The sequence below is a fragment of the Homo sapiens genome, chromosome 7 (genome assembly GCF_000001405.40).
Source record: "Homo sapiens chromosome 7, GRCh38.p14 Primary Assembly".
Classification (NCBI taxonomy): domain Eukaryota; kingdom Metazoa; phylum Chordata; class Mammalia; order Primates; family Hominidae; genus Homo; species Homo sapiens.
In genome coordinates this window covers 47,418,801-47,439,231 of record NC_000007.14, presented here as the reverse complement: position 1 = coordinate 47,439,231, position 20,431 = coordinate 47,418,801, and the positions used below count along the sequence as shown (strand labels likewise).

Here is a 20,431-nt window from a genome sequence, read left to right as displayed (position 1 = left end):
CATCAGTGAGGCTGGCTCCCCAGTGCCTTGGGACATGTCCCCAGCCAGCCACCCTTGCGCTCCCATGCTGCATCCCTCGTATCAAGAGACAAACTTGTGACTCTCCTCCTGAGCCAGAAATTAGGAAGACAAATTAGGTGGGCACCCAAGAAACCAGGGGCTGCCCTGGAGACAAGGAGACAGCTTGATTTTCAAAACACACTTGTCGAGTTGATGGTGGAGCCACATCTGAGGAATAATACAGAACAGCCTCTCACCATCTCTCACCCTCTGATTGGCCCCTTGTTTTCTGTTCCCATGGTTGGTAGCCCAGGTGGAGGCTGACTTCCTTCTGCTGTCAACAGTCACTAATGGGATTGAATGACAGCTCCCTGGCACCCTCTCTCTACCTGCCTTGTTATCTCTAGTAAGGAGGCCTCCTTATCTGTGGTAAAGCTAATCTGCCCTGCAAACCTACAAGGTGTTCATTGTCTTCCTTGCTGGTCTGCTCCAATGACTGGGGCACCAGTGGCTGGGAGAGGTGGACCCAAGTGGCAGAGTAGGATGTGGCCTCCGTCTGATGCCAGAGCAGCCCTGGCCCAGGTGCTACCTGGGTCCTGACCCCTCCCCGATCCTTGATTCACTCAGGCTCCTGCCTCTTTCTGGTCTTGAAGCCCGTCTTGTCTGTGACCTGGCAGTGGACAGGAAGTGGTGGCCAAGCCCCATTTGATGGTGGTGCCTCTCACCAGGGGCCCTCTCCTCCTCAGGGCTTCCTCCTTCATCACTGAGGCGGTGTGCTCTGCAGGACCATGGCTCCTTCCTTTGGAAGCCACTCCCAGGCTGGTCAGCGCATCCTGAGTCTCCTCTCTGGCCATCCTTCCCCTCTTCCCCAGTCCCCCTTCCCCAAAGAGACCATGCAGAGGGCCTGGAGCCCTGGCCAGCACCTGTCTGTGGGGCCTTGTCAGGGCCAGAGCTCTCCCTGCAAAATGGCTATGGCAGGGATCTTTTTCTTGTGCAGGGTTAGAAATGAACTGTGGGTCACAAAGCAGCGCCCCCCCTTGTCATAAACAGGGCTTGCTGGGTGACCAGGACAAGCCCCCACCCTCCACTTTCCTCACATCTCTGACTCTGAAGTGAGAGGGACGTTTAGTTAATTTTTAAGGCTCCTTGCTGCTGGAACATTATTATTATTATTATTATTATTATTATTATTTTCATTTTGAACTACTTGAGTATTTAGCAAGGTTCCACAAATGGCTGTGATTTTTCAGTGAACTTAGGCCATGGCTTTTGGCCGGGCATGAACTCAGCCCTTTCCAGGCCTGGGGCCACCAGGCCATAGAGGAGGGACAGCCTTCCCCACCATGTACCACCTCTCTATCGGGTCAGTTTGTGTTGTCAGGAGCAAGACCGTGATATTTATTTTATATATATGTGTATATATATTTTATATTATATATTTTATACGTGTGTGTGTGTGTGTGTGTGTGTGTGTGTGTGTGTGTGTATCCTATATGTTGGGATATTTTGTAGCCATGAGAATTAAAAAAAAATAGTAACACAGTAAATCGCCTGGTTTAATACTAGTTGAAGAAGTAGAATATAGACTTTATGTGTAAGGGTTCTGTATGCCATCCTTATCTTATTTATTTTATTTGTTTTTTATTCTGTGACCACACAAGTCTGTATTTTTCAATCTTTTCTGATCCTCGGTACCTGGAAGGGAAACATCATGTAAAAATGCAATGTGTTTTCTGCTTTCATCTCTGATGTCAAGGATTTGTCTAAAAGCTTTTTTTCCCCCTGATTTGTGAGTGTGAAGATTTTAGATATTTTTTTAAAAAATTAGTATTAATTAAAATTAAATAAAAATTAAAGTATTAATTTTTAAAATATTAAAATCTATTTTATGCAAGGCAATTTTTCCTCTCTTTTATAGGTATTAAACCTTTCAGAAAAGAGATATGACCTTACGAAGCTTAACCCAAAGGTACAGAGTTCATCCCTTTATATTCTGCATTTTGTAAAATGTAAACAATGCTTATTTTGTGCAAAAATAATTTGCTACTAGTCTTTGTGGAATGTGACTTGATAAGGAGTATTAGGAATTGTTCATATCAATTATTTTAATTACTTTTTTTTCAGTTTGAAATAGTTAGAGATTCGTAGGAAGTTGTGAAAATAATACAGAGATCTCCTGTACTTCTCACCCAGTCTTTCCAGTGGGAGAATCTTACAACACTAATAGTGAAATATCTAGGTCAGGAAGTTGGCATTGGTATAGTCCACGGACCTCACTCACATTTCCCTGGTTTTGCGTACATGTGTGTTTCTCGGCATCGTGTGTATAGATGATAAATACTAATATATATGTATAGAACAAATCTATACACATGATGCTTCCTCCTCCCGCCTCCTGGGATCTTTCATATATACTGCATATATATATGCATGGAACAAATCTATAACAAATATATGTATAGAATAAATCTAAACTGCATCATGTGTATAGATTTGTTAAGCCACCACAAACAAGAGACAAAACATTTCCATCAGCATGGGGCTCTCTTCTGCTAGTATCTCTTTATGGTCATACTAATCCACTCCTTTCATGATAATTTTCATTTTTTAAAAAATTTTTAAAATTTTTTCAAATTTTACTTTAAGTTCTGGGATACAGGTGCAGAACGTGCAGGTTTGTTACATAGATACACATATGCCATGGTGATTTGCTGCACCTATCAACCTGTCATCTAGGTTTTAGGCCCCTCATGCATTAAGTATTTGTCCTAATGCTCTCATTCCCCTTGCCCCTCACCCTTCATGATCATTTTCAACAGCAAAGTTTGGGATAATTTTAAGACTGAGTCAACATAAGTTGTGGTACATATATGTATGTATATTCTATATGTTGAAATATTTTGCAGCCATTAGAGTAACAAAGCAGAAACATGATAAGTTGCCTATTTTAATACTAGTTAACAATAGTAGAGTATAGAATTTATGTATAATAGTATCTCAATTATGCTAAATGTATACAGAAAAGAGACTAAGGGATTCATGAAAACATTGCAGTGGTTATCTTTGAGTGGTGGCAGGGGTAGTGACTTTTCCTACTTCCTGGCAACTTTCTGAAATTTCCAACAGTCTTACACTATTTCTACGACTTTCATCATAAGATAGAGCTCCTTGTCCTCGTCCTACTGACAAAAGGAAATCAAAGGAAAAGCAACACCCCCGTGTGGCCACTGTGGGCCACTGTGGACTTGTGTGTGCCTCAGGACGCTCAGAGCTGCAGTTCTGCACCGAGTCACTGTGTCTTTAGCACATGGTGGTGATTTTCTTTGTCCAAGCACCAAACTTAATTAGAGTTTTGAAGGTGCTTCCTCCTTAAGTGCTGCCTTTCCAGGAGATTGTCTCTGAGGTGTTGTCCGCACGGTGTGGGAGATGGCTGGCTGCACTCTCCAAACTGGGATTTTAACCCGAGTGGGGAGATTTTGGCAGCAGCTTGGGCCTAGGACTCCTGTTTGTGATCTCACTGGACTGCAGCCCCGTCCACACAACCTGCACCATCAGCAACTCAAAGACCTTTCTAGAATTGTCACCCCAGCTGCAGAAGAGCAGATGAGCCCCTGGAAGAAGAGGCATCACATGGGCAGTATAATGCTTTATTTTTTCTTCCCAGTGAAGGAAGTTGATCCTCATGCTCACTGAGTTTTAGGAAAGGGTCACCCAGCATGTTCTTTACTCCCAAATGAAATGTACTGATGATGAAAGAAGTCATTGTGAGATGGCCTCAGAAGGTTTTAGGAAATGGAAACCGAGGAAGCTCCCCTTTCTTGTTGCAGATCATGGATGTGGGCTGGCCAGAGCTCCACGCACCGCCCCTGGATAAGATGTGTACCATATGCAAGGCGCAGGAGTCCTGGCTGAACAGCAACCTCCAGCATGTGGTCGTCATTCACTGCAGGGTGAGTGCGCCCCCTCTCACATTTGGGGGTCTGGCTGGGCTTCAGCCTTTGGAGTTGAGATGGAGACCAATGCTGCATCTGAGCACATTTCCGCTTTGAGCTGGTGCGATGTGCTCCTTATGGGTTTGTCTTTAGGTTTTCCTACTTGCTCTTAAAGAAGGAAACAGAGTTATCACACCTCCCCAAGTTTGGCTTTAGAATTTATAGGATTGTGGTCCCTGAATGTGTAGCTGGACATTTGAAACTGTTGACCCCAAATTGACCACGATTATGAGAGCAAATCGTTTCATTTTTATTAAATTTTATTTTTCATGGAAAGCCCTCCTTTTCAAAAGAGCTATGTATGCCCTTTTCAGATGGACTGTGTCAGACTTTCCATGCCATCTTGAGTTATGGTAATCAGTTGATGGACTAGATGATGGCATGATGCCATTGCAGTAAACGTGTTGTCCTTTCCACGTGGAGCCATTGCAGTGCAGACATGGCCTGTACATCTTCACAGAGTGGCCGGGACTGTCTGTCTGTCAGCCCCAGCAGGGTTGGTGGATGCCAGCAGCCCAGGTGCATAGCTGGTGGGCACTCCTCCTCCTGGCTGCATCGGGCTCCTTCCATGCTTCCTCCTCCCACCTCCTGGGATCTTTCCTCTTAATTCCCAGTTTTCTCAACTGCTTTGTACTGCTCCTCAAATGTGATTGTTGTTGAAAGGGGTTGGACTGAAAGCAAACTCACTGAGGGGTAAGTGTGTGAAGCTTAACCCTCCTGCCAGAAACTTACTATTAGAGAAAAGCTCTTATTCCAGTCACACCTTGAGTCAGGGAGGAATCCTTTGGGAAAGGATGTAGCCAGTGGGCTGGGGTCACTGTTCATTAATGGGCAGCTCCCTATTTTGTGTGTTTGACAAAGCATTCTTAGGACCATCAAAGTATCTAGGAAGTGTTGACGGTTCAAGATAGAAGTTTTTTTTTTTTTTTTCTTCCGGACTCTTTTACACTAAAAAACTGCACAGAAATCCATTGTATTATGGAATTTAGTTTGAAAGAAGCTTCCCTTTGAGTTATATTAGACTCTCAGTATATCTTTCCTGCAAAGGCACTAGGTAGGCTGGCTTGTGGATGGTGTTTACAGCTGTAAGGCATATGATGACCACTTGATGTGCAGAAAACTTCCATCGGGGCACACAGATGTTATTTGCTTCTCTCTAGTGTTGTCTCTTTCCTCACATCTAACTTGATCATATTTTCCCCCCAAATGGACAGGTACACCCATTAGGACCACCAAATCGTCCGTGATGACCTGATCTTTTCAAGTATTATTTTAGATTATGGATCCTTCACCCAAATTGTGTTTTGGTGCAAACTAAGAGAGAGAGAGAGAGAGAGAGAGAGAGAGAGAGAGAGATAGACAGACGGACTTTTAAATAAATATAATTCTTGTTAATTAAAACAACCTATGCTTTTCAGGCTTGGTGTGGTGATTTTGACACAGTGAGCCTGATATTGATGGATCATCATTGCCCAGGATCACGTAGCAAGCTGTTCTAAGCAGCATTCCTGAGCTGTGAGCCTGGGCCCAGCAGCAGCACCTGTGGAAAGTGCAGGTTCTAGGGCACACCCAGACCTGCTGCCTGCTGCATTGTCAGAAGTCTCTTGGAGTTGCTGGACTTGAAAAGTGCCATCCTTGGCCATTTATTCCATTTTAGTTGTTGTTCACTTCAATTTTTTAAATGAAATTGAAAGAAATGATGAGATTATTTAAAACATATGGGTCCTAGTGGGGACCACCTAGAGCTTTCTAAAATGCATCCTTTTGCTAAGCAACTTTCGGCTTTCTGGACAGCTCTTGTTAGTGGAATTCATGGGAACATGTTGAAACTTCTCAGAAGTGATTTGCTAATGGCTTGCCCTCTTCTGGTGCCATGTAAACCATTTTTGAAACGCTTAGAAATTGTGCCCTGAGAGATAAGCCCTCTTTTAATTTGAAATTGCTGATGTCGATGTTAACAGAAGTTCATCATCATCACTGCGGGGGTGAAATCGCTGACATTTGGCGAAATCCGCCTGCTTTGCAGAATGCGCGTTTCCTTCCACACATGCCAGGAATTTCTAGCGTAGCTGGGCCTGTCTCAGCCTGGGCAGGAACAGAGTGAGGGTCGGTCCTCCTATGCTTCCCGTTCTGCCGTGTGATGCAGAGGCTTGTGTTTGTGTGGGTGTGTGCAGTCTCCTCCTCACCCCTCCACACCCTGGTTATTGACTGACCAGAAATGGCCTGCAGTTCTTTTGGGAGATTTCATCCACACCATACCTTTTGTTTCTGAGTCCATGGTGAAGAATACCCATGGAAAATTGTGCAGTTAGTGATTCTGTGATTTTTGTTAACAATTCCAAGTCCAAAAGAATGCAGCTTGCACTAAAACGTAACAGTCCATGAGCCTATCGTGCCCTCTTGTGTTTTCTACATCCTGTGAGCTAAGAGCTGTATTTACATGAACATTATATGAAGATGTCCTACTTCAGTTCCATACGTAGTTTGAGTGGAACATGGCCACCTCCATCTGTTCACGTACATCCATGGCTGCTTCCACCCACAATGCAGGGGTAGGTTTGGATGGTTGAAACAAGACCTTGCAGCCTGCAAAACCTTAAATACTTACTATTTCATTAAGAAAGACCTCATATCAGGGTACTGCTGGCCTTGTAAAATGAGTTTGAAAGTGTTTGCATTTCTTCAGCTTTCTGGCAGAGTTTGCATTAGTCTGTTTTCTGTTACTTATAACAGAATATGTGAAACTGGGTAATTTGTAAAGAAAAGGAATTTATTTCTTATATTAATATTTATAGGGGCTGAGATGTCCAAGCTCAAGGGGCTGCGTCTGGTGAGAGCCTTCTTGCTGTTGGGGATTCTGCAGAGGTCCTGGGGCTGCATGGGGCATCACATGGCGAGGGGGCTGAGGGTGCTAGCTCAGGTCTCTCTTCCTCTTCTTAGAAAGCCACCAGTTCTACTCCTGTGATAACTGGTTAATCCATTAGTTAATTAATCCACAGATGTATTAACCCATTCATGAAGGCAAGGTTCCTCATGACCCAATCATCTTTTATAGGCCTCACCACTCAATACTGCCACATTGGAGATTAAATTTCAACATGAGTTTTGGAGGGGGCTAATATTTAAACCATAGCGAAGTTTTCTCTTTTTTTCGGTGATGGAATTCATCAGTTAAGTGATCAGGTCCTGGGCTTTTCTTTGTGGGAGAGTTTATATTACTGATTCAATCTCCTTACTTGTTATTGTTTTGTTCGGATTTTCTGTTTCTTCATGATTCAGTCTTAGTAGGTTGTATGTGTCCAGGAATTTATGAGTTTGTTCCAGGTTATCCAATTTATTGCTATGTACTTGTTCATAGTTTTTTATGTTTCTTTGTGTCTTAAATGGCATCAGTTATGATGACTGCTCTTTCATTTCTGATTTTGAGTTTTCTCTTTTTATCTTATCTAGGTAAAGATTTGTCAATTTTGTTAGTCTTCAGAAAACCCAACCCTTAGTTTTGTTGATCTTTTCTATTGTTTTTCTAGTCTCTCCTTTATTTGTTTCTGCTCTGACCTTTGTTTTTTCCTTCCTTTGCTAATTTGGGGTTTAGTTTGTTCTTTGTTCCTTCAGGTACAACATTAGGTTTTGTGTTTTGTTTTGTTTTTTGAGACGGAGTCTCACTCTGTCACCAGGCTGGAGTGCAGTGGCGTGATCTCGGCTCACTGCAACCTCCAACTCCCAGGTTCAAGTGATTCTCCTGCCTCAGCCTCCCTAGTAGCTGGGATTACAGGCACGTGCCACCACACCCAGCTAATTTTTGTATTTTTAATAGAGATGGGGTTTCACCATGTTGGCCAGGAAGGTCTTGATCTCCTGACCTCGTGATCCACCCACCTCGGCCTCCCAAAGCGCTGGGATTACAGGCATGAGCCACCGCGCCCTGCCTGACATTAGGTTTTTTTATTTGAGAGTTTTTTGTCTTTTAACATAGGCATTTATTGCCATAAACCTTCCTCTTACAACTGCTTTTGCTGCATCCCATAAGTTTTGGTGTGTTGTGTTTCAATTTTTGTTTCTCCCAAGATATTTCTAAATCTCTCTTCTGACTTTTTTTCTTTGACCCAGTAGTTATTTAGGAGTATGTTGTTTTATTTCCATAAACTTGTGAATTTTCCAAGATTCTTCCTGTTATTGATTTCTAGTTTCATACCACTATGGTCAGAAATGATACTTGAGGCCAGGCGCGGTGGCTCATGCCTGTGATCCCAGCACTTTGGGAGGCCAAGGCGGGCAGATCACCTGAGGTCAGGAGTTCGAGACCAGCCTGGCCAACATGGCAAAACTCCGTCTCTACTAAAAATACAAAAAAATTAGCTGGGTGTGGTGGCATGCACCTGTATTCCCAGCTACTCGGGAGGCTGAGGCACGAGAATCGCTTGAACCCAGGCGGTGGAGGTTGTAGTGAGCTGAGATCATGCCACTGCACTCTAACCTGGATGACAGAGGGAGACTCCATTAAAAAAAAAAAAAGAAAAAATACTGAATATGATTTCAGTCTCCTTAAATTCGTTAAGGTTTGTTTTGTGGCCTAACATGCCATCTATGCTGGAGAACTTTCTGTGTGCACTTCAGAAGAATGCGTATTCTGATGCAATGTTCTGTATATGTCTGTAAGGTCTATTTGGTCTAAAGTGCAGGTTGAGTACCCTGTTTTCTTACTGGTTTTCTGTCTAGGTGATCTGTCCATTGTTGAAAATGGGGTACTGAAGTCCCGTACGGTTGTGGTATTTCTATCTGTCCCTTCAGATCTTTTAATATTTGCTTTATAGGCCGGGTGCAGTGGCTCATGCCTGTAATCCCAGCACTTTGGGAGGCCGAGGCGGGGGGATCACCTGACATCGGGAGTTCGAGATCAGCCTGACTAACATGGAGCAAGCCCGTCTCTATTAAAAATACAAAAAATTAGCCGGGCATGGTGATGCATGCCTGTAATTCCAGCTACTTGGGAGGCTGAGGCAGGATAATCGCTTGAACTCGGGAGGTGGAGGTTGCCGTGAGCCAAGATCGTTCCATTGCACTCCAGCCTGGGCAACAAGAGCGAAACTCTGTCTCAAAAAAAAAAAAAAGAAAAGAAAAGAAAAGAAAAGAAATACTTGCTTTATACATCCATAAATAGTGCCACAAAAGTGATTGATAATGGGGTGAATGTCACCACCATGTGTGCCTGTTTTGGCTGAGGTGTTGTTTCTTTGTAGGTGAATTGCTGTCAAATATAGTTTTATGCAAGAGGTATACTAGTAGCCATACCATTAATAATTGCACGTGCCAGGATTCAGCTGCAAAGAGTGTATCAAGTGCCCGCATTGAGTATCTATAAGGCATGCTCTTGACTTTCACTGACAGAGAGAAGGATGCTCCTGGGTGACTTTCATGTATGACTGGGCTTATCAGAATTGTGACTTGAATTTGATCAGTAGTTTCTTCTCAAGAAGTTAGGGAGCTACATATTAGAGGCCCTGCCTTTTTGGCTTTATATGATTCCAGATCAGGGGTTGGCAAATATTTTTAAAAACAGCCAGATTAGGCCGGGTGCGGTGGCTCACGCCTGTAGTCCCATAGTCCCAGCACTTTGGGAGGCCGAGGCTGGTGGATCACAAGGTCAGGAGATCGAGACCATCCTGGCTAACATGGTGAAACCCCATCTCTACTAAAAATACAAAAAATTAGCTGGGTATGGTGGCGGGCGCCTGTAGTCCCAGCTACTTGGGAGGCTGAGGCAGGAGAATGGCGTGAACCCGGGAGGCGGAGCTTACAGTGAGCCGAGATTGTGCCACTGCACTCCAGCCTGGGGGACAGAGCGTGAGACTCCGTCTCCAAAAAAAAAAGAGCCAGATTGTATTTTACACTTTTCAGTCCCCGTGGTCTTGCTGCAAATACTCAAACCTACCCCTGCAGTGAGAGTGAAAGCAGCCCTGGATGTAGGTAAACAGATGGGAGTGGCCATGTTCTAGTCAAACTTTGTGTTTGGACACTGAAATCTGAACTTCAACACATTTTCACATGGCATGGAATCTTATCTTTTCAAAATTTTTTCTTAATAGTTAGAAAATGTAAAACTAACTCTTAGCTCACAAGTTGTGGGAAAGTAGGTAATGGGCAGAAGTAGCTCCTGGGCTGTGGTTTGCAATCTGCTGTTGTAGGTTGTAAGAGTATGTTCTAGAAGGTGGCACTCTGTGGCCCTGGGTGAAGGTGGCCTGTCCAATAGTTTCTGCTTCTCCTGCTGGTGTTGCTGGTCTGTGGGCTGGGCTGTTGGTGTCTGTGGTTATGGTTTGAGTGAGTCCTTTTCCAGAACTTCTGCCTGGGACAGTGGTTCCTTTATGTGTAATGAGGGTGGGCTGCGGCGGTGTATGTGGAGCTCAGGTGCCGGCAGTGCTGCCAGTAAGCTGGAATCTATGTCCCATCATGCTGAGCTGTGTTTGCAGCCCTGATCATTGTCAGCCCGTGAGCAGGCAGGCGTTCACTTCTGTCTGACCTGGATAATTAAGTCATGCTAATTGCTGCAGCTCCTGGCACAGTTTTTTCCAGCCTAATTGGGTAAAATGACAGGCAGCTGCTGTGTTGGTCAGCCCTCCTGGGCTTCTACAGCTGCTCCAGTTAGCACCCACTCTTACTGTTTGCACCCAGCGTGCGGGTTCCCTGTTGCAGAGACTCCAGTTGCACTGGGTACTGACTTTCCCAGACAGGAAGGCTGTGGGTAATGCTGGCCTTACCACCAAAGCAGGCTCTCTATTGTTTTGTCCACTAGTGAGTCTTTTCCTGTTCTAATTACATCTCTGCTGTGGGATTTCAGAGAAAATCAGCTGATCTTTTGTCTCCTGCAGGGCGGGAAAGGACGCATAGGAGTGGTCATATCATCCTACATGCATTTCACCAACGTCTCAGCCAGGTAGGATGAAGATGTCAGCTCGCTGTCTTGAGGTGCTAAAAGCTGGGCCTGCATGGGGCTGAAGGCTGTCTGCGCGGGAGCTGTTCTGGATACCAAGGGCTCGGCTGACCTGTGTTTCCCATTCCCCAGTGCTGGGTTGGTCAGTGCCTAGAAACCCAGTTTCCAGTTAAGCGTTTACACTTGTGAAAGTGGCATTTTCCAGGTTGGGTGACTGTGTGATTGATTCTAAGTACTTCCATGGAGGCATTAAAAAAATAAGTGACCCCACTGTCCCTTGTTCTTTAATAGAGAATTCTCTAACAAAAAATAACAGAGATAAAAGTCACCATTATGAAAAGAACAGAGTGGTCTCACTAAATCAGCTCATACCTTGTATATAATGATGATGACAGCCACCTCTTTTGCAGGCACTGGGCCTCTGGGAAGTATACTGATTATTTTCCTTTTCTCCCTGAATTCTCCTAACTAATCCACGAGGCAGTTACTATCATTCCCATTGCATGGATGAGGGAGGTGAGGCTCAGAGGAGCCAGGCAGCTTGCTCATGATCTCACAGCCTAGGAGTGGAGAGCCAGGTCTGGGCTGGTTTCCATGAGATGGAACTGTAATCGTGGAGACTTTGGAGGTGCCACTCGGGTCCCCTAAGCCAGACATGACACAAACACAGCAGGGCCACAAGGACCTCAGCCCTATGCCCATCCTTCTGGCCCTGGGCAGCTGTGGTGTACACCCGGACCCTTCCCAGAGTGCAGATCTTCACTCTCGCTGAAATGCAGTGCAGAAAATATTATTTATGGGGTCTACATTTGCATCTGCCCTGTCTTCTCAATGGCCTCTTTGTAAAGCCTGAACTTTCCATTCTGAGGAAATAGAAGCCTATTCATATCAGCCGATAAACCTTTTCCTTTCTAGCACCAAGGAGTGAAATTTGACTTTCTGAATGTTTTCTCTGGAAACCAACTGAGGAGTTGGTGCCTGCCAGGGAGGAAACCAACCCCCAAGTGAAAATCAGATACCCTCTTGGTGAGAATAATCATCGGTGTGTGTGTGTGCCAGGAAAATCGAGATTCCTGGGCACATCCATCCCTCAATGATGCCAAAGACATTTGGTTGGTGACTAAACATAGCCTGGCTGGTTCTGGACAGAGACCACCTGAGCACTTCTGTTTTTTTTTTTTTTTTTTTTTTGACAGAGTCTTGCTTCGTTGCCCAGGTTGGAGTGCAGTGGTGCAATCTTGGCTTACTGCCACCTCTGCTTCCCGGGTTCAAGCGATTCTCCTGCCTCAGCCTCCTGAGTAGCTGGGATTATAGGTGTGTGCCAAGATGCCCAGCTAATTTTTTGTATTTTTAGTAGGGACAGGGTTTCACCATGTTGGCCAGGCTGGTCTTGAACTCCCGACCTCAGGTGATCACTCACCTCGGCCTGCCAAAGTGCTGGGATTACAGGTGTGAGCCACCACGCCCAGCCACACCTGAGCATTTCTATCCCCAGCAAAGTAGTACTGCCTGAACCGAAGTTCCATGCACTGTGGATAGTCCCGGATTTTTTGGGAAGGGTAGATGTCTTAGGGCTAAAAACACACCTTTGACGCTCTTGGTACAAACTCTGTTTTCTCTCAATAGTCAATATGTATTTCAGCTGCATGTGTCAGGCAATTTACCTGAATCTCTCTAAGCCTCAGCATCCTTACCTGGAAAATGATGGTAGCTCTACTTCCCAGAATGTTGTGACAGTTCAACATATGTTACACAAAAAGCACTTAGAACAGCATCGGTACTCAGGTATTGGCTATCATTAACGCTGCTGTGATTATTAGGAGTAATAGTATTAAGTGCCTTTCAATTAAATGGGCTGATACCACATGCTTTTTGTGACTTGATTTTCTACATTAATATCATTTTATATGCATCATTTCCCGACATCATTTCAGTGGCAGCATAGCACTTTATTCAATGGATATGTTATGTATTTAAGCATTTGTTGATTTTGCCTATCCAAGTTGCTTCCAGTTTTGTGTACGTGTGTGTTTAAGACAGAGTCTCACTCTGTTGCCGGGGCTGGAGTGCAGTGGCGTGATCTTGGTTCGCTGTAACCTCCACCTCCCAGGTTCAAGTGATTCTCCTGCCTCAGCCTCTCAAGTAGCTGGGATTACTGGTGCCCGCCACTATGCCCAGCTAATTTTTTGTATTTTTAGTAGAGACGTGGTTTCACCATGTTGGACAGGCTGGTCTTGAACTCCTGACCTCGTGATTTGCCCACCTCAGCCTCCTAAGTGTGTGTTTTTTTTTTGTAATTTAGGTTGCTTCCAGTTGTTTTCTACTGCAAAGCTTGCCATGATGAACACATTCTTATACATATATTTTTGATCATTTCTACAATGTTCCCTCTTAGATTATATTCCAGAAGTAGAGTAATCCCAGATAGCACAAGCACACATTTGAGATCTTTATCACAAACTGCAAACAGAAGAAAAAAGAAACTTCAAGTCACCAGAGAAGAACATTCTTGTATCAACACCATAGAAATAAGAGTTATAAAGACAAAACCAGTACTAATATTATTACTACTACTCATATCACTATAGAAAATAAACATTGGTCAAAATGTATTCTCAGCATTTAATAAAACAAGTAAATTTCAGAAAAAGGAATGCTTAAAAGTCACTGGGAGGCTATGGAGCTGCACTCTGCTGCTCAGTATGTGATGGACTCGGTGCTAAAGTGGGCCCTTCTGTGTGTGACTGCCCCACCAGCACAGCCCCTTGCCTAGCAAATGCACGTAGCAAGTTGTCCATTTTATAGTATTCTGTGAAAGTCAAATCACACTCAACTTACTTTTGAGTATGTTTCTTTTTCCTCCTGCCTGTCTCTCTACCAGGATTTTTATGAAGTCCGCAGTGCTTATGTACATCATTTTTCTGGAGGGGCACAGACACATTTTTCTAAGTAACGGGCCCACTTTATCAGGTGTTGTTGTTGTTGTTGTTGTTGTTTTGAGATGGAGTCTCACTCTGTCACCCAGGCTGGAGTGCAATGGTGCGATCTCTGCTCACTACAACCTCTGCCTCCCGGGTTCAAGTGATTCTCCCACCTCAGCCTCCCAAGTAGCTGGGATTATAGGCACCCACCATCATGCCGCGGTAATTTTTATTTTCAGTAGAGCTGGGATTTCACCCTGTTGACCAGGCTGGTCTTGAACTCCTGACCTCAGGTGATCCGCCCGCCTTGGCCTCCCAAAGTGCTGGGAGTACAGGCGTGAGCCACCGCACCCAGCCTATCAGGGTTTTAAGGAAGCATTTGGCCCAAATGAGTTGGAATTGTTAAGACACTGCACTCATATTCCAGGATTTGTGCTGAAGTCATATCAAGAAATCCCATGAATGCCCTGCTGTGAGATTTCTGGAAGTTTCTGTCAGACACTTCCTGTGGGCACTGTGGACCTGGCATTGAAGGTCAAATATATTGTTGGAAAGCAGGGTTACTTTCAGTCACTTCAAAAACAATGCTGCAGCCCCGAGGCCTGAGACACCTTTCCAACCCCAGTGCCCTACAGCCTTCTCAAGCCCAGTCCTGGGAGTGACATACTGGCGGGGCACAGGCTGGCCCACTTGTGTCCCGAGGGTGCCTCTTGGGACTTCATGGGGGTGTCTGTTGACTCTCCTGCCCTGGGTTGCTCCCTGCATCCATGTGGTCCTGAAACTTGAGTCTGCCTGCTTGTCTTGCACAGAGCCCACTTAAAATGGTCTTCTTTATTTAGGACGTAGGGTGGCCAAGGGACAGTTTTGGACACCAGCCCTACCACCTGCCTGCTGAGAAGCCTCAGTTGGTTCTTCTGCAAGCTGGGTATTCAGCACTCTTAAGAATAATATCTTTAGATAAGGAGCTGTTATTTCAGATGAGAATTCTGACCCTGCACTATGGCTCCCACTTTGAGCACAGCATATTCCTGCGGGGGAAATGAAGTCTAACAAGGGACAGGTGGATTGGGTGTGCACAGGTGCAGCAAAGGGTGAAGCCCCTTGTGGGAGCTGGTCGCTTTGAACAGCCATGAGACACATCCCCCGTCAAGTACCCACGTGGTGTGGGCTCCACTGAGTTAACTCTCTTTCTCTCTCTCTCCCCTTCAGCGCCGACCAGGCCCTTGACAGGTTTGCAATGAAGAAGTTTTATGATGACAAAGTTTCAGCTTTAATGCAGCCTTCCCAAAAACGGTATGTATAGATCCCCAAAGCCAGAGTGAAGAGGTGAATGAAATTTTACATATAAAAATGTGAAAACAGAAGAGGCATCTCCTCTGTCCCGACACCTAAATGAATAGTATTCTTGGGTCATGCCAAAGACTGTGAAGGTGGTGGGGAGACTTGTCCCTCCCAGAGGTTAAGGACTTAGCCATCCTGTGTGTCTGTGGTGAGAGACAGCCCCCTATGCTGCTGGCTTGCACTGACAGGTAAAGGGAGGACTTGCTCCAGTTGGCATTTTCCTCTCTTGCAGTGAGTGAGTTTTGATTTCCATTATTATGTTGGAACTTGGTTCTATTGGCTAGACCAGGGGTCAGTGAACTATCTCTGCAACGGACTAGAGAGTGGATATTTTAGGCTTTGCAGGCTACAGGATCTTTATCGCAACTGTTCTAACATGAAAGCAGCCCTGGGCAATATGGAAATCAGGGAATGTGGCTGTATTGCAATAAAACTTTACTTACACAAACACATTAGCAGTTGCACTTGGCCAATTCTTGTAGCTCATCAGTTCCCTGAGGCCACGGAGTATTTTTCTGTCATGCTGCCCATCTCTCCCTTCTCTGCTCCTGGGCGTGGCCCCTGGAATGAGCTCAGTAAGTGATGGGGAATAGTCATGGTGGGGTGCAGAACTTTCTCCTTTTGCTGCCCACCCCAGCAGGCTGAGGTCAAGAACCTGAGCAGGGCTGGCTGAGAGGCAGTGAGAAGGACCCACAGCTGGCTCCCCATCCAGGTGCACTTACTTCCTCCACAGATGGTGACACTTAGAGCCAACCAGGTAGCTCCATGGCATATTTCAAAGCCCACAGCAGGGAATTTGTAGGAGAATTGCCAAGGTGATTGCCAAATGGTGTTCCGTTTTGGAGACAGGTAGTTGCACACCCGACCTTGTGTATGCAAGTTTTGATGCCTTGTATCTATTTTCTCCAGTGCAACTGAGGGCTATGTCAGCAGACATGGGGGTAGACGGGCAGAAAGGGATTTCAAGCATCACCAGAGGCACCTTTTCCTTTTGTCTTGCTATTTCCAATGGCATGGCTCTGTTTCTCTTGAAACCGGGTGTGTTGGAGGAACATGGGCTAGGGTGTAGGACTGTGGTCAGCAACAGGGCCCACATGCAATGCAAGTTGTGTGCAGAAAACCTAGCATTTTCTAAAATATTTTAGTTAAACAGTCACTTGGGTTTTTTTTTTGTTTTTTTTTGGAACCATTAAATGTTATTTCTTTGTTGAACAGTTTCCAAAATCGTGACATTCATATGACCTCCTGCATGGAAAATGAGGTGTAAATAGGGAGTAACCCATGCAGAATGCTTGGCACACAGGAAGTCCAGCTGTCGTCTTTTCTTTTTTTTGTTCTTATTTCTTACGGCACCAGCAGCTTGTTTATAACATTAAAAGAATATGGAAAAAGGGGGAAGATATCTCTTCATTTTTTTTTTCTTTTCTTTTTTCTTTTTTTGAAACAGAGTGTTGCTCTGTCACCCAGGCTGTAGTGCAGTGGTGCAATCTTGGCTCACAGCAGCCTCAACCTCCTGGGCTCAAGCAATCCTTCCACCTCAGCCTCTTGAGTAGCTGAGACTATAGGCGCACATCACCATGCTCAGCTAATTTTAAAATTTTTGTGGAGACAGTGTCTCACTGTGTTGCCCAGGCTGGTCTTGAACCCCTGAGCTTGAATAATCCTTCTGCTGTGGCTTCCCAAAATGCTGGGATTGCACGTGTGAGCCACCATGCCCTGCTCTTCTCACATTCCCATGCCCAGGGTTTTCATGCATCCTTCCCGTCATTGCACATTTGAAGCCAGAACATTTGCATTTTTTAATGCTTGCTGGATTCAATTTTACATTCCAAGGTTAATCCCTCTGCTCCTGAGATTAGGGAAATGCCCCTTACTCCTTGCTCTTTTCTTTTTATTTTGACCAGAGCCTGCATGAAAAGATGCTCACCAAATGGTAATCGAGCATGTAAACGAATGAATGCATAAGATAAATCTGGAGGAAAGTTTGAGACCAGAAGAACGTGTGAGGACAGCTTGTATGGGAATAGGCTCTGTGATGGGAGGCTTCTCTGTTGTCCTGAATGGCCTGGGGAGTGGGATGGGTGCGCTGCAGGCTGCTTTAGGACTGAGCTCAAGAAATCATTTTAAAGTCAAACTCGTAATAATCACTCTTGAGAATAATTAATTAGCAAGGAATTTGTGACTGGGAAGCTCAGAAGTCTCAACAGCAACTCTGATGGGAGGTCAATCTTTGTTACACTGAAACGCCATGGAGCAGTTGGCCCATGGAGCTGACCCGTAAAACTCACATGTGCCCATGTAAGTTTTCTGTTTTTATACCTTCCTTGTCTTCAGCAAATCATGAGAAGCAGCTTGTTGACACCCCAGTGTGGCCTCCTGTTGGTGCTCATGACCACCATTGTGTTATTGAGGCACCCCTGAACTTCCTTCCCTAAACTTGGAAGCCTTCCTCTTTGAGAAGTAGTTAAAAAGAAATACTGGGTGTGGCACAGTGACTCTAACCTGTAATCCCGATTCTTTGGGAGGCTGAGGCCGGACAATCCCTTGAGTCCAGGAGTTTGAGACCTGCCTTAGCAACACAGGAAGACCCCATCTCTATCAGAAAAAAAAAAAAAAAATTAGCTGGATGTGATGGCACACACCTGTAGTCCCAGCTACTCTGGAAGCTGAGGTGGGAGGATCCCTTGAGCCCAGGAGTTGGAGGTTACAGTGAGCTGTAATTGCCCCACTGCATGCCAGCCTGGATGACAGAGCTAGACCCTGTCTCCTCCTAACGCCCCAAAAATCCGGGTATAGTTTTGGTTTATTATCAGCATCATGGAAATAATATTAAAATTATTAACGTTTCTGACATCTCTTTTCTTTTCTGCCTTTCCTTTCTTTCTGAGATAGTTGAGACAGCAGCACATGTTTCTTGGCCCCATCACGGAGTTAATGGGGAAAGTGACAGGTAGCCAGTTGTTTCTTTGGGGAGCTGATCTCTCCTGAGTGTTGCCTGCCAAGGTGACCCTGGGAGGCCCCATGTGGGAGTCACCTAAGACCATCAGTCATGTTGTCTATGCACATTTGGGTGTCCCTTTGAGGTAAAGGGAAGACAGACCAAACAAATGTCTTGGCATACAGAAATCAGGATGTCCTAGAAATTATCCTATATAGTGTTACTGGTGGAAGGTATCCGAGTTACCAGCAGTGAATCCATAAGGGTCTGCAGGAACCTCAATTCTTGCCTGCTCAGAAGAAAGAATTTGACTGAGGGATATAAGGCAGAAAAAGAGACAGAGACAAGTTTCAGAGCCAGAGTGGAAGTTTATTTTAAAAGGCTTTAGAACAAGAAAGAAAGGAAAGTACGCTTAGAAGAGACCCAAGCGGGCACATGAAGGTCAAGTGTGGTGTTTAACCTTGGTCCTAGACTTTATAGGCTGGCCCACTTCCCATGTCTTGTGCCCCTTTCCCGTGATTCTTCCCTCAGAGGGGGCTGCCCGAATGCATAGTGCCCTCCTTTTGCTTGGGAAGTGAGCACATGCAGTATGTTTAGGAAGTTGTACGCATGCCTATCTGAGGGTTTCTTCCCTTTTCTGGTGATGTACCCTGAGAAGGTCATACTCTGCCATTTTTTCTGTTAATGCACGTGCCCAAGAAGTTGTGTCTCCCTGGAGCCTGCATTCAATTAACAGTGCAATAGGCGTGGACCATCAGGAAACGGCCTCCTCCTGGCACCAGCTGCCAGTGTATCACTTTCAGAGAGGCAATGTGATAATTGCCGAACCATTACCCCACATTCTCCTAGTGCGTGCGGAAAGAGCCCTCTGCTGCCCTGCTCATGCCTGTCTAACTGCCTGTAAAAATGGCATTATTTGATTTTTCATATTTCTGTCATTTTTGACACAGTACCTCAGGTGCCTGAAAGAATACTTTAAAGATACAAGGAGAGTAGTTTTCCACATTCTCTAAAGGATGAGGCTCCTCAGATAGTCTCTGTAACCGACAAATGGGTTCATTATTCAATGCCCAGATATAGCCGATTTACCAAGACAGGGGAATTGCAGTAGAGAAAGAGTTTAATTCATGCAGAGCTGGCTGAACAGGAGACCAGAGTTTTATTACTACCCAAATCAGCCCCCTGGAAAATTTGGAGGCTAGGGTTTTTCAAAGATATTTTGGGGAGAAGGGGGTGGCTAGGGAATGGGGTGCTGCTGAGTGGTTGGGGGTGCAATCATAGGGGAAAGTGACCCTTTTGCCTCTGAGTCCACTTCTGGGTGGGGCCAGAGAACAGTTGGCAGGTCAGGTAGAGCTGTCAGTTGTCAGAAATGCAAAAGCCTGAATAGACATCTCAAAAGGCCAATCTTAGGTTCTACAATGGTGATGTTATCTCTAGCAGTAATTGAGGAAGTTGCAAATCTTGTGATCCCCAGAGTAATCTTTTAAGTCTATACCTTGGCAGAATTCAAGCCGCTTTCATCCTACCAATGTGGTGGTCTTGCATTAGTTTTACAAAAGTGGTTTAGTTTTGGGCTATTATCATTTAAACTATAAACTTTACTTTCTCCTAAAGTTAGTTTGGTCCAAGCCCAGGAATAGCCAAGGGCAGCTAGGAGGTTAAAGGCAAGATGGGGGTTGGTTACATTAGATCTCTTTCACTGTCATACTTCTCTCACTGTTAAAATTTTTGCAAAGGCTATTTTACTTCATGCCCCTGTGGCCCCTCCCTGCACATCCTCCTTGCTGCCCACAGCCTGCGGAAAAAGGGTGACCATTCCTCAGGGAGCCACACACTTTGCCTGGGCCTGGACATCCCCTCTGAGCCTCCAACTCTGTGGGCAAAGCCACCTACACTCTGGCAGCATACCTCAGGAGAGCAGAGGCTGTGGCAGATGTGTTGTGGTCTACTCTGACCCTTATGTCCATGCAACTGACTCATCTTTGCAGCAATTCCAATGTGTAGGTCTCATTATTCTTCCCATTACATGAGAGGGAAGGGAATGCTCAGCAGAACGTTAAGAAACAGCCCAGGCTTGGCTGACACCAACAGGTGGCCCAGCTCACCTTTCCTGGCCGGTTGGTGCTGCCCCTGCAGCCATGGCTGACTCTGTGAGTGCTGGGAATGTAGAATGAGTAAGCTGTTGGGAAAGATGTCCTGTGACGATGGTTCCTGTTGCTTGGAAAAAGTAACATTTGAATGCTGATTTTTATGCACCCACCATTTCAGACAGATTTAAGCTAACGTCTAGTGCAACTCAAATGTTTAGGGAGAT

At 45.1% G+C, this 20,431-nt stretch overlaps 1 protein-coding gene across 24 annotated transcripts in view, besides 1 other annotated feature; it reads left to right on the top strand.

The window, feature by feature from the left end:
- TNS3 (tensin 3) overlaps positions 1-20,431 on the top strand; it is a 307,433-nt gene that overhangs the window by 143,355 nt on the left and 143,647 nt on the right. For all 24 annotated transcript variants that reach the window (XM_047420733.1, XM_047420729.1, NM_001410878.1 and 21 more), the window contains 4 exons: positions 1,919-1,969; positions 3,828-3,950; positions 10,856-10,920; positions 15,048-15,131. In XM_047420733.1, coding sequence (XP_047276689.1) covers positions 1,919-1,969; positions 3,828-3,950; positions 10,856-10,920; positions 15,048-15,131 — 323 coding nt within the window. The remainder of the gene's footprint in view (positions 1-1,918; positions 1,970-3,827; positions 3,951-10,855; positions 10,921-15,047; positions 15,132-20,431) is intronic.
- Positions 19,294-19,795: an enhancer, noted in NCBI's record as "NANOG hESC enhancer chr7:47459035-47459536 (GRCh37/hg19 assembly coordinates)". NCBI's record gives its function as "activates a minimal SCP1, AML or CMV promoter by ChIP-STARR-seq in primed H9 embryonic stem cells {active_cell/tissue: H9 hESC(primed)}" and the evidence as "EXISTENCE:reporter gene assay evidence [ECO:0000049][PMID:30033119]".